Source organism: Homo sapiens, chromosome 13, assembly GCF_000001405.40.
Source record: "Homo sapiens chromosome 13, GRCh38.p14 Primary Assembly".
NCBI classification, from domain to species: domain Eukaryota; kingdom Metazoa; phylum Chordata; class Mammalia; order Primates; family Hominidae; genus Homo; species Homo sapiens.
This window is the reverse complement of record NC_000013.11, coordinates 32,315,849-32,330,038: the sequence shown is the minus strand read 5'-3', so window position 1 is coordinate 32,330,038 and position 14,190 is coordinate 32,315,849. Positions and strand designations below refer to the sequence as shown.

Here is a 14,190-nt window from a genome sequence, read left to right as displayed (position 1 = left end):
ATTACTGGAGAGGCCACATCTGCTGATGAAGCTGCTGCCACATGAGTACAGAACAATAAGATATTTTGAGACAGAGAGACAACATTCACATAACTTTTATTACGGTATTTTGTTATAATTGTCCTATTTTATTATTAGTTCTTGTTAATCTCTTACTGTGCCTAATTTATGAATTAAACTTTATCACAGGGTATGTGCTTATAGAAAAAAAGATTATAGGTATATATATATAAATACTACACATTTTTAATATATATATATAGGGTTCGGTACTATCTAAGGTTTCAAGCATTCACTGGGGGATATTGGAATGTATACCCCATGAATAGGGGACTACGGTATATATTGTATATATGCAACTTTAACAGAGAGACAGCAGAGTTTCACAGGAAGTTAAAATCACATATAGGACCAGGTTTAGAGACTTTCTCAAAGGCTTAGATAAATTACAGATTAGGAAATTAAAAATGTAAGATAAATAATTTAACAAGGCATTCCAAAATTGTTAGCAATTTCAACAGTCTAATCAATGTCATATTTACTTACAGCAGTAGTATCATGAGGAAATACAGTTTCAGATGCTTCTTCATTTCTGACTGTAAGATAAAAATTTATGTGTATTGTATATTATCACTAGAATGCAAAAACTTATTTTTTGTCAGACATCAAAAAGCACATCTACTATTTGATTACATGACACATTTGAAACAAAATGAATTGATTCAAGTACTTAAGTATAGTAATTAGAAAGGTCAATCAACACAGTGAATAAACTATACTTACTTCCTTAGTACTACTCACAAGGTGGTAAGATATGGCTTGGTGATCATTACTTTATGGTAATACTGTCCACAATGAGTTGGAAAGTCAGATGATGCTGTGAGGTTATGACTTAAAAGCTAAAGCTTGGAGACTTTAGCATTCATTTAGACAACACTACAGCCTAAAGGCATACTATATATTAAATACATATTTTCAAAATGATTTTATCCATATTATTTCATCTAAGCAACAGAATAGGGTTAACTTACTCCCAGCTAAAGAGGAATCAAAACAGAATGCTATTTTGCTAGAATAAACAAAATGTAATACTGGTTTGGGAATAAATTAAGCTCAGGCTTTGAGTACAACCTAGTTTTTTAAATACACACACACACACACACTTTATGACTGCACACACACATGGGCACACAAAGGTTAAGTAAAAAAGTTTTACAAAACAAACTTTACTGTGTGTAGGACTTCTGGATAAAATACAGGACACCTCATTAAATTTGAATTTCAGATAAACAATGAATAATTTTTTAGTGTTAAGTATATCTCAAAATTATTCGCTGTTTACCTGAAGTCCAAATTTAACTAGATATATTGTATTTTTTATTTTCTAAACCCTAACTACATGTGATGTACTCAGAATTTTCATTTCATTTAAAAAGAGCATATACGACTCACAAAATAAGTTTCACAACTATGAACAGGTCATAATCTGCAATTTGAGAAACAATGATCTGGCCCAGTATCTTCTTAGACAAAAAAAATGTGGCTGAGACAAACGAATCACTTGAGGTCAGGAGTTCAAGACCACCCTGGCCAACCCAGTGAAACCTCCTCTCCACTAAAAATACAAAAATTAGTCAGGCGTGGTGGTGGGTGCCTGTAATCCCAGCTACTCGGGAGTCTAAGGCAGGAGAATCGCCTGAACCCAGAAGGCAGAGGTTGCTGTGAGCCGAGATGGTGCCACTGTACTCCAGCCTGGGCAAAAGGGCAAGACTCCGCCTCAAAAAAAAAAAAAACGAAAAAGAAAAAAGAGAAAGAATGTTGGTGAATATTTACTTTTTTTCCCATTATTATCCAATCTTTCATGTTTTGCCTATAAACTGTGATGCATTTGTTTAGATGAACTTCCAAATACTTGTTTGTACTATAATCACATTTATGTACAGACATTTCTTTAAACTTGTATGTTTATTATCTCATAAAAATAAAAAAGAATGGTCACAGGTGGGTGTGGTGGCTGCTTGAGCTCAGGAATTTGAGACAAGTGTGGGCAACATGGCGGGACCCATCTCTACAAAAAATACAAAAAAAATTAGCCAGGACTGGTAGTATACTGGTGGCATGGTACCTGTAGTCCCAGATACTTGGAAGGCTAAGAGGAAGAAAGATTAATTGAGCCTGGGAGGTTGAGGCTGCAGTGAACTGCGACGGTGCCACTGCACTCCAGCCTGGGCAACAGAGAAGAACCTTGTCTCAATTAAAAAAAAAAAAAATAGTCACAACTTTTCAAATACTAAGTCATGATTAGCCAAATCTCAGCTACTCAGAGATTTTTAAGTAGTTTTATAACAGGATTTTTTTTTTTTTTTGAGACAGAGTCTTGCTCTGTTGCCCAGGCTGGAGTGCAGTGGCGTGATGATCTCAGATCACTACAAGATCCGCCTCCCGGGTTCATGCCATTCTCCTGCCTCAGCCTCCTGAGTAGCTGGGACTACAGGTGTCTGCCACCACGCCCAGCTAATTTTTTCTATTTTAATAGAGACAGGGTTTCACCACGTTAGCCAGGATGGTCTCGATCTCCTGACCTCGTGATCCTCCCACCTCAGCCTCCCTGTCACCCAGGCTGGAGTGCAGTGGCACAATCTCGGCTCACTGCACCCTCTGCCTCCCAGGTTCAAGCAATTCCCATGCCTCAGCCCCCAGGTAGCTGGGATTACAGGTGTGTGTTACCACACCTGGCCAATTTTTTTATTTTTAGTAGAGACAGGGTTTCACCACGTTGTACAGGCTGCTCTCAAACTCCTGGCCTCACGTGATCCACCCTTCTCAGCCTCCCAAAGTGTTGGGATTACAGGCGTGAGCCACTGCAACCAGCCTACAATAGGAAATATTTCTAGATCCTAGTAAGAGAAACTGTGGTGAGACTGCAAAGAGTTTACAGTTTAATGAATGGATAAATATTGCAGTTTATCACATAGTTGTGTAATTACACTTGTGGAATTTAAGACCTCAATTCAGTACTACTGGCAATACAGACCTTAGAACACATTTAAGTAGAGAAAACAAAAGCTTATTTAATGCTGCTTTAATGCCCCAATTACCACAATCATTTGTAAAAAGAATTCAGTCACACCAAATACTGCCTCTTAAACGCTTATATAGGCCAGTAAAGGAATATTTGTAAGCTATTCTACGTTAATCACATCGTACTAAAACATAATGCTTGACACCACTGGACTACCACTAAATGTATTTGTATTTATTCCAATCTACACTTAATAGAATAAAATTATTGTCAGTTACTAACACACTTATCAAAGACATTATCTAATATTTTCTTTTCATATTTCCTTTTAACAGAAGTATTAGAGATGACAATTATCAACCTCATCTGCTCTTTCTTGTAAATACACATTTGCTATTATTACCTATGAGCACAGTAGAACTAAGGGTGGGTGGTGTAGCTAAAGAACTTGACCAAGACATATCAGGATCCACCTCAGCTCCTAGACTTTCAGAAATATGTTTTGGTGTCTGACGACCCTGGGAGGAAAGAAAATAGTTTATTTTTTATAGAAATGCCCTGATCATTAAGGATATTATTTTTTCATTCACTCTTTATTTCACTTAACGTTTACTGAATTGCCTGTATGAGGCAGAATGCTAGGTACAGATTTGTAAATCTCAGGGCAAAGGTATAACGCTATTGTCAAATTCTCAATTACTAAGTCATAAAAATAAACCAGGTAGAATATTTACCTTCACAAACTTTGGTGTATGAAACAAACTCCCACATACCACTGGGGGTAAAAAAAGGGGAAAATTGTTAAGTTTTATTTTTATTAACATTTCTAGTATTCTAAGAATAAAAAGCATTGTTTTTAATCATACCTGACTTATCTCTTTGTGGTGTTACATGTGTACATTGTAGAACAACAGGACTAAAATAAAACAAAGCAAATCCCTTAGGTTATTTTAAAAAACTGGCAAAAACTAGTTTATCTTATTTTTAAAAGAAGATTCTCATTCATATAAATTGTTGGAATACTACTTTTAGATATTTTATATTACATTTTAAAAAGTAAATCTCTCATGAAGCATTAAATAATCATCAAGTGATGTTTAAAATGCCAACACATATGTACTCACAAATTTCAGCTGCTGGAAACCGTGTATTTTAAACTCAAAAATTTTGTAAAGTAGGCCGGGCACAGTGGTTCACGCCTGTAATCCCAGCAGTCTGGGAGGCTGAGGCGGGCGGATCACGAGGTCAGGAAATCGAGACCATCCTAGCTAACACGGTGAAACCCCGTCTCTACTAAAAATACAAAAAATTAGCCGGGCATGGTGGCGGGCGCCTGTAGTCCCAGCTACTTGGGAGGCTGAGGCAGGAGAATGGCGTGAACCCGGGAGGCGGAGCTTGCAGTGAGCTGAGATCGCACCACTGCACTACAGCCTGGGTGACAGAGACTCCATCTCAAAAAAAAAAAAAACAAAAAAAAAATTTGTAAAGTAAATCATATTCTCTCCAAAGATGAAAAGTACACAATTTATTTTAAATTGATAATTCAAGGACTGACTTACTGCTTTTCACCACTGTTATTTTTGTTACTTAAAAAATCACAGAATATACAGAAAACCAGCCAATTCAACATCACAAGAACAACAACTTACATGTTTCTAATGTAAAAACTATTCTATTAAAGGACTCAACCTAAAAGATTATTTAAAAATGTAAGATCTTCTACCAGGCTCTTAGCCAAAATATTAGCATAAAAATCAGATTCATCTTTATAGAACAAATATATGTAGGAAAATGTTTCATTTAAATATTTTAATATAATAGCTTCATCATACCTTTCACTAAGACAAGAATTTAGAAGTGGACAGGAAACATCATCTGCTTGATCCATTTTAGTTTTCACTGTGCGAAGACTTTTATGTCTACTATTGGGAACATTCCTTCCTGAAACAGTACAATAATTCAGTGAGAATGTATATACTCTGGATTATAAATTTGCATTCTTTGGAAGTGTTTAAAAACAAAAAGTCTCCTCTATACTGGGAATGAGAATGTATAGGGAGTTGTAAGAAGAGGTTTTTCAGTTTGCTGATTACCCCCCAAAAAGGATGCCCCGAGCACAGTGGCTTATAATTTGAGGGCTCTGGGAGGCTGAGGTGGGAGGATTGCTTGAGGCAGGAGTTCAACACCTGCCTGAGCAACAGAGTGAGACTCTGCCTCTACAAAGAAAACGCTGGTGTGGTGATATGCCTGTAGTCCTAGCTACTTGAGAGGCTGAGGCGGGAGGATCACTTGAGCCCAGGAGCTTGAGCTATGATCATGCCACTGTATTCCAGCCTGGGAAAAGAGCAACATCTTGTCGCTTTAAACAAAAGCAGAAGGAAAGAGAAAAAAGGAGTAAGGGAAGACATTTACTGAAAACCTACCAATGTACCAGATCTGACAATATCACTTGTGCTAAAAACCTTTCAAGATCTTACTTTTCAAGATCAAGTCAAACTCCATAGTATGAAGGCCTTTCACAATTTACTTAATTTCTTCATTTTTAATTTTTGTGGGTACATAAGAAATATATATATTTATGTGACAATTTACTTAATTTTTATGATGCCATTCTTTTACAGTCTACTTTTTACCCATACCCAACCATTTGCATATCCTGAAAGAATGTTTTCTTTAACCTCTAGGACTTTGTACAAGCTGTTTCCCCTTCTTTGCTTTTCTTGACCTGGAACAACTCTTTCAGGCTTCCATTTAGAAACTACCTCCTCCAGAAAACTGTAGTGATCCCTAAGGTAAGATTAAGTGTTTGCCCCCCTATGTGTTCCCTGAAGAGTTTGATCATACACTGTTCTTTTTCCCCCTACTAGGCTGTGAGCAATCTGAGGTAGAGATTTTGTCTTATTTGTCACTGTATCCCTAGCAACTACAAAAATGTCTGGTATATTAGTCACTCCTGAAATATTGACTGGATGAATAAATTGGATATAATTAGACAAAGTGAGTTGCAGACAGTAATACATAATTTCTATTCTTATTGAACACATCCATTTTCTAAGAAAATAATGTTCAGAGTTTCTAAAGCTATAGGTGGCTTTAACAATATGAAATCCAATTTACAGTTTTTCAATATTTCTATTTTCTGTATTAGAGTAGATTATATTTGACTCTCCAGGGCATTAAGTACTCATATGGTTCCAATAGTTGATGGTAACTACAAATTTGGCACCTGAGTCACTTATTATTACTCTTAGAAAATAGTTGCTTCGGTTGGTCCTATAATCTCTAACTTAGCTTTTGGGAAAAATAAGCTCTATCAATGTTACTAAAATAAAGTGAAGACCAAATTTAAAACTGTTTGTAGCAGCCTAAATAAAATGTCTCATTATAGTCTCATTTTTCAAGTTAACATGGACTAGACATAATCACTAATAAAGCAAATGGATGTGTAACTTAAAAACCCCACTTCAACAAAATATCCAACCTCCTTCTCTAATGAGATTTTTAATTAAAGATACTAAAAAGTAGCTAATTCTTGAAAGAAAATTGACTTTAAAAAATAAAACAGGCCGGGCATGATGGCTCACGCCTGTAATCCCAGCACTTTGGGAGGCCGAGGCGAGCGGATCACGAGGTCAGGAGATCAAGACCATCCTGGCTAACACAGTGAAACCCCGTCTCTACTAAAAATACAAAAAAATCAGCCAGGTGTGGTGGCGGGTGCCTGTAGTCCCAGCTACTCAGGAGGCTAAGGCAGGAGAATGGCGTGAACCTGGGAGGCGGAGCTTGCAGTGAGCCAAGATCACGCCACTGCACTCCAGCCTGGGCGACAAAGCGAGATTTCATCTCCAAAAAAAAAAAAAAAAAATTAAATAAAACAAACAATGAGGTACCACTACACACTTGTTAGAATGGCTAGAATTCAAAACACTGACACACCAAATGCTGGTGAGGATGTGAGCAACAAGAACTCTCATTCACTGCTGGTGGGAATACAAAATGCAACAGCTACTTTGGAAGAAAGCTTGTAGTTTCTCATAAAACTAAACATACTCTTACTATATGATCCCACAATCGTGCTCTTTGGTGTGAACCAAAATGAGTTGAAAATATATTCACACACAAACCTGTATGTGAATATTTATACCAGCTTTATTCATAATTGCCAAAATTTGGAAGCAATCAAGATGTCCTTCAATAGATGAATGGATAAACAAGCTGTGGTACATCAATACGATGGAATATTATTCAGCATGAAATCATTAAAAGACATGGAAGAACCTTAAACACATATTGCTGTTGGGAACTGGCCCCAAAACTGGCCATAAACAAAATCTCTGCAGCACTGTGACATGTTCGTGATGGCCATGACACCCACGCTGGAAGCTTGTGGGTTTACCGGAATGAGGGCAAGGAACACCTGGCCCACCCGGGGCAGAAAACCGCTTAAAGGCGTTCTTAAACCACAAACTATCATGAGCGACCTGTGCCTTAAGGACATTCTCCTGCTGCAGATAACTAGCCAGACCCATCCCTTTACTTCGGCCCAGCCCTTTATTTCCCCTAAGGAATACTTTCAGTTAATCTATAATCTATAGAAACAATGCTTATCACTGGCTTGCTGTCAAAAGGCTGTGAGACCCCTGATTTCCCACTCCACACCGCTATATTTCTGTGTGCCTTTAATTCCTCTAGTGCCGCTGGGTTAGGGTCTCTACAATCGAGCTGGTCTCGGCATATTGCTAAGTGAAAGAAGCCAGTCTGAAAATGCTATATTCTGTATGATTCCAACTACATGACATTCTGGAAAAGGCAAAACTATACAGACAGTAAAAAGATCAGTGGCTGCCAGGGGCTCAGGAGGAGGGATGGGTGAGCAGGTGGAACTCGGGAGATTTTTAGGGCAGCAAAATTATTCTGTATAATGCCATAATGGCAGATATACGACATTATACAATTTGTCAAAATCCATAGAACCATACAAAGGGTGAACTCTAAAGTAAACTAAGGAGTTCAGCTAATAATAACACATCCATTTTAGTTCAGCAATGAAAAGAAACTCGGCTATTTAAAAAAAAAAGTTAAAAAAATGAACTAGGTGAAAAAGAGTTAATTACCAAATAAACATTTCCCAAATAACCTGAGGATCTCATTAATAAGCTGAAGAATGGTAACAGAAATGCCTATGATTTAATGCAAAAGGAAGGACTGCTGAGAGGCAGAAACAGCACAATTCCTCATAGAACTTTAGGAATAATTTTTTAAAAAATATTACATGTTAGAACTGAACAAAACAGGTTGAAAAACACAGCTTAAGTCCATTACTCTTACTTTTCAATACTGAATCTAAAGTAAACGTAAAAGCAAAAGGTCTCAAGAGACTAGTCAGCAGATTTATGTATTACAGCCTTCAAAAAGTTAACTCCTTTGCAGTGAGTTGAGAGTGGCCTTATTAATTCCTTACTATCCTTCCTTGGTTATAGATCAATTCTAGCAGGTTATGATTAAAGAATTAACCATTTGACCTTAGGTATATCTTTCAAGATTCAGCAAAAACTGCTTTATGGAGCTTTTTCTGACCAACCAGAGATGGCTGCTCACTTTTCATGCACTTGGTACATGCTCTTATAACATATCACACTAGTGTATTTATTTTTATGGAAGCAACCAAGATGTGCTTACAAGACGTGCTTACGAGACTGAGTACTTAGAGGTCAAAGGACATCTTATTCATATTTGTATCCTTAATGCCGAGCAGGTTGCCAGACACAAGTAAGCACTAAGTATTTGCAGAATGGATGACTCCCTTATCCATTTCTATGACTGTTACTACTGTGTTCTGCATATGCTTTGCCCTGTCATTTGTTCCTTTTTTTGAATCCTCCATATCTAGACTACTGCAAGGTCCTATAGTTTTATGTTCCATATTTACTTTCACTGTTATTACTGTAATTCAGGCACTTGTCTCTATCACCTAGACCATTACACATCCCCTAACTGATCTTCCTACCTCCAGTTTTCTCTTTCTATAGGGATCATTCAGGTAGTTTAAAATGTAGACTCATGGGCATCATTTCCAAAAATTATAAATTAAGAGATTCAGAGTGGGGCCTGGAATCTGTCCTTTCAATGAGCAGTCTAGAAGATTCTAATGGCACAGACATGACATTTTGAAAAACGTTATCTCCAAAGACTGCTGTTTGATCATTAGGCTTTCTAAAGCAAATAATACTAATACTCACTCTACAAATATTTACTGAATCCTATGTATACCATTTGGTATCCAATAACATACATGTAAATATTTGCCCATTACCTATATTCCCTTTGTATATGCACTCCCTATAGCCATGAATTTCTTTCAAAGCATGTATCACACTATAATTGCTTATGTATGTCTCCTTCACTAGAAGCTCAACGAGGGCAGACAGGAAGTATTTCTCAGAAGCAGAAATAAGCCAAGATCTGAAAGACGAGCACGCAAATTAGCTAGACAAAAAGTAGGGAAAAAGTAGGTTGTGGGTAGAGGTAACAATATGTTTAATAAAGAGCCAGAGAGCATTGTGGTTTTGGTAACGAAAAGAAATTCAGTAGGAATGAATGGCAAATGAAGATAGGTGAGAGGATGAATATGGCAAGCTGAGCCAAGAGTGTAAATCAGGGGCCTGATCACAAAGGAACTTGAAAGCCATATCAAGTTTAGATTTTGCTATAAGGACAAAGGGAGGTGATCTAAGGTTTGACACAATAAGTAGCATGATGAAATTTGCATGTGATTTCTCTGCTCACCAACCAACCAAACAAATTCAATTTCTTTAGCTTGGCATTCAATGCCTGCCTTTAGTCTGCCTTTTTGCCTTGTCTATTGGTCCCTTTCAGACACAAAACAACCAAAGCCAACCTGAATTACTTGCTATTTCCTGAACACACTACATATTCTTCCTCATGTTGTTCCCTCTGCCTAGAACATTATCACTCTACCACATCTTCAAATTTCTTAATCTCTCACCTATCCTTCAAGGTTTAGCTCAAAGGAATAATTGCCTAACTTTGCCCAATACTATTTGCTCTTTCTTCTCAACTCTCATTATACTTTTTTATATTTTTCTCTTAGCACATACTACATTCAACCTTACACTATACTTTATCTGTGTACTCTTTATTCCCCTTACTAGAGATTAACACTCTGAAGAAAAGGGAAAGTTCATTACTTATGTCAAGTAGGTAATAATTATTTGAATGACTGAATATATAATCTTATTACATAATTGCTTAGAAACATGCGGCACCTACGCCAGGGAAACTCCTTCCAAATCATGATACTTATAGTATATCGGTAAAATAATCTCTGTCCTCTGTGATAGCTTGCAGAAATATAGTTTAGTTTAATTAACATCAAAACAAGTCCTAGGTTTTTTTGGCATAAGAAAGACGTAATTCAGCAAATCTCAGTTGGCAAATTTATCAAAGGAGGGATGAAAGAGAACATTTACTAAGTACCTACATTATTTAATTTAATCCAAACCTATGAGACATTATTTTCATCGTCTCCATTTTTCGAGTGAGGAAAAAGAGGCCAGAGAGACTGATTTGCCCAGCATGACACAATTAATGAATGAGCTAAGATTTTAACACAGGTTTGCCTAAATTCCTAGTTTGTAGTTCTCCCCAGTCTACCATATTGCATTACTTACCTAAGTCTAATTTGAATTTATCTAATTCTTTTACAGGAGATTGGTACAGCGGCAGAGTCAGCCCTTGCTCTTTGAATATTATTGGAGTTGAAGCCAGCTGATTATAAGATGGTTTCCTTTGTGGAGTTTTAAATAGGTTTGGTTCGTAATTGTTGTTTTTATGTTCAGATTCTTCTGCAGGTTCAGAATTATAGGGTGGAGCTTCTGAAGAAAGTTCTTCAAACCAATTAAGACTTATTGGTCCTAAATCTATTTAAAAAAAAAATCCCACCTTAGTTTTAACCAGTGACAGACAAATTTGTGACCCAGAACAGTTAAAGATCATAAGGAAAAAAATGCTTAAGATCTTGACTATGGATTACTTTTGTTAAGGCATATTAATTAAACAAGATCATTAATCCATTCTCTTGCGAATCTATAGAAAGGTGTAACAAGAGTTCACAAAAGTTACAAGATGGCATTTAACTATATTATTAAAAGCTGTATATATTAGCTTTTATTTTCATTTAAATTTTATTTATTTTCTTATTATTCATGGTTCGGAATCAAAAACTATTCACATTAAGAATACATTCCACGATAAAATTCGGCCAGGTGCGGGGGCTCACGCCTGTAATCCCAACACTTTGGGAGGCTGAGGCGAGCAGATCACGAGGTCAGATCGAGACCAACCTTGCTAACACGTTGAAACCCCATCTTTACTAAAAACACAAAAAATTAGCCAAGCATGGTGGCACACGCCTGTAGTCCCAGCTACTCCGGAGGCTGCCACAGGAGAATCACTTGAACCCAGGAGGCGGTGGTTGCAGTGAGCCGAGATCACGCCACTGCATTCCAGCCTGGGCAACAGAGCAAGACTGTGTCTCAAAAAAGAAAAAAAAAAAAATACATTCCACAGATAAAATTCAAAAAATTCAAATAATTCTGAAGAGTACTCAAGATGTGGCAAACTATGGGTATGAGGAACATGTGGACTCTCACATAAAATGGGAATTCTCTCTTAAAGGGAAATGACAAATTTGTATTGTGAGCTATTCATCCTCTACCATTACAGTTCAAAACTACTTTCATAATAACGCTATGGAATCATTTCCCTTTTTCATGATGTTGACATTTGTATCAACAGTGCAAAGATGATGCTGGGTAAAACTGCTGGCACATTTGCATGAGTTATGGCAGTGGCACCAAACTAATACTAGTAGCCATTATATTCCTTACCACTGAGTGTCCTTGTTAAAAATAATAGTAATAATAATGCCAGTTTAATGTAAGAATGTCCTAATGAAGCAGTAAAAATTAATTTCGAAGCTCAATGCTTTAGCACTTCTTTTAATAATCTCTGACAAAATAGGAAGCATACATAAAGCACTTCTGCATACTGAAGTACAATACTGCCTAGAAAAGCACTCATGTTGAGCTGTGATCTGAACAAGCAATTTTTTCAATGAAAAGTCATTTTTACTTGAAAGAACAGCTGACAAAGTTATTTCAACTTAAATAATTTGGTAGACATTTTCTCACAAATCAATGAAGTGATCTTGTTGCTGCAAGGAAAACAGTTTGTTGTCAATGACAAAATGTGAACTTTCAAATGAAAATTAGAATTTCCAGTGGCTCATTTCTACCCAATCTTAAAAGACTTTTCTGACATCCATGGTGGTATTAATGAATGAGATTTTTAAAATAGTTTAATGCAATTTATCAATATTTGGAAACTTTGTATAATTCAGAACACCACTATCTTCCAAATAATCACTGCATGATGTTGCGACATGGGAAAGACCTATGGTATATCTATTAGATCTTTGAAAAATCTATGCAAAGTACAAGGAAAAATACCAAAAAGTAACTGAAAACTATTAAAATATTCCTTTTTTCAACGTGAGGTTAATTTTTTTTCACATACTTCTACCAAAATAACAGATTAGACACAGATAAGTGAATCCAGCTATCTCTATTTAGCCAGACATTAAAGAGAACTGCAAAAATGTAAAAACTATTCCACTCACTTGTTTTCAAAAAGTTATTTTTCCTAAGAATGTTGTGATAATATGCAATGGGTTAGCTTTCATTATTTTTAAGTAAATTAACTTTAAATTCTTAGTTTTTTGTTTGTTTGTTTGTTTTGAGACAGAGTCATGCTATGTGGCCCAGGCTAGAGTGCAGTGGCATGATCTTGGCTCACTGCAACCTCTGCCTCCAGGGTTCAAGCGATTCTCCTGCCTCCACCTCCCGTGTAGCTGGGATTACAGGCACGCACCACCACACGCAGCACATTTTTTGTATTTTTAGTAGAGATAGGGTTTCACCATGTTGGCCAGGCTGGTCTCAAACTTCTGGCCTCAAGTGATCCGCCCACCTCGGCCTCCCAAAGTGCTGGGATTACAGGCGTGAGCCACCACGCCCAGCCTTAAATTCTTAGTTTTAAATTTCTAATATGGTAAGCTACATAAACAAAAGCACTCCGGGGGTCCTAGATCATTTTTAAGAGTATAAGGAGTACTGAAACCAAAAAGTTGGACAACTTCTGCCATAAAGTAACATTAATGCTTCTGATTTGTTAGTAATTGTTCCTACTGCTAGTCAAGGGGCCAGTTTCCTCTTTATCCACTAGACGTTCTATATTTATCATGTGGTTAACCTGCAAACGATGATTATGTTGTTAACTGGATTTATACACACATAAGGAACAGTTTATGGTTCTAAGCAACACTGTGACGTACTGGGTTTTTAGCAAGCATTTTTTAGAAAACACTTTCTCGGTGTAATTTATAAAGTTATATAAAATTTGTCAATACCTGCTTTGTTGCAGCGTGTCTTAAAAATTTCAAAAAATGTTGGCCTCTCTTTGGATCCAATAGGCATTTTTACCTACGATATTCCTCCAATGCTTGGTAAATAAGTCTGCAAAACAGAAGACCAAAATGCACTTACACAGGGATGCATTCCTTATTATGTGACTGAGGTAAAACTCAGAAGCGCTGGAAAATTTGTTTGAATTCTAATTCAGTCCCATCTCCTGGAACGGTAACAGCTTACTGTGAGGATGGGAACATTTTACAGCTGTGCTGTCCAAACCGGTGCCACTAGCCACATTAAGCACTCGAAACGTGGCTAGTGCGACTAGAGAAGAGGATTTTCATACGATTTAGTTTCAATCACGCTAACCAGTGACGCGTGGCTAGTGGGGACAGAGGGCTCCAGTTAGAGACCAACGCCGCCTGGTAATTCCCATCAGCATGTCTTCGGAATACAGCAATTACCAGGGGCTTAAGTAAGGCAAATACAGCGTGCCCAGCAGCTGTAAAACACTTCCCCAAAACAGCAATATTCCGTTAAAGTGATCGTGTTTCCAAGAAATTTCAGATGGCGTCATCTGGGACAGCTGGGAGGGAAGTTAAGTCTTGAGCTGAAGGCGGAGCCCAAAGGCCGGGCCGGAGGCGGGAAATGGAGACCCAGGGAAGGGGCGGGGCTCGA

General features: G+C 37.2%; 1 protein-coding gene across 7 annotated transcripts in view, besides 1 other annotated feature; it reads right to left on the bottom strand.

Annotated features, from left to right (window-relative positions):
* Positions 1-14,190, bottom strand: part of BRCA2 (BRCA2 DNA repair associated) — an 85,192-nt gene that overhangs the window by 70,230 nt on the left and 772 nt on the right. For 6 of the 7 annotated variants that reach the window (NR_176251.1, NM_001432077.1, NM_000059.4 and 3 more), the window contains exons 2-8: positions 13,512-13,617; positions 10,714-10,962; positions 4,855-4,963; positions 3,889-3,938; positions 3,757-3,797; positions 3,426-3,540; positions 547-596 (exon numbers count right to left, since the gene is read on the bottom strand). Coding sequence is in view for 6 of the 7 variants with exons in the window: in NM_001432077.1 (NP_001419006.1) it covers positions 547-596; positions 3,426-3,540; positions 3,757-3,797; positions 3,889-3,938; positions 4,855-4,963; positions 10,714-10,962; positions 13,512-13,578 (681 nt within the window). In the remaining variant the exon portion in view is untranslated. The remainder of the gene's footprint in view (positions 1-546; positions 597-3,425; positions 3,541-3,756; positions 3,798-3,888; positions 3,939-4,854; positions 4,964-10,713; positions 10,963-13,511; positions 13,618-14,190) is intronic. The other variant, NM_001406722.1, reaches the window with a different exon arrangement.
* Positions 13,872-14,141: an enhancer, noted in NCBI's record as "active region_7554". NCBI's record gives its function as "activates an Ori minimal core promoter by ATAC-STARR-seq in GM12878 lymphoblastoid cells {active_cell/tissue: GM12878}" and the evidence as "EXISTENCE:reporter gene assay evidence [ECO:0000049][PMID:35858748]".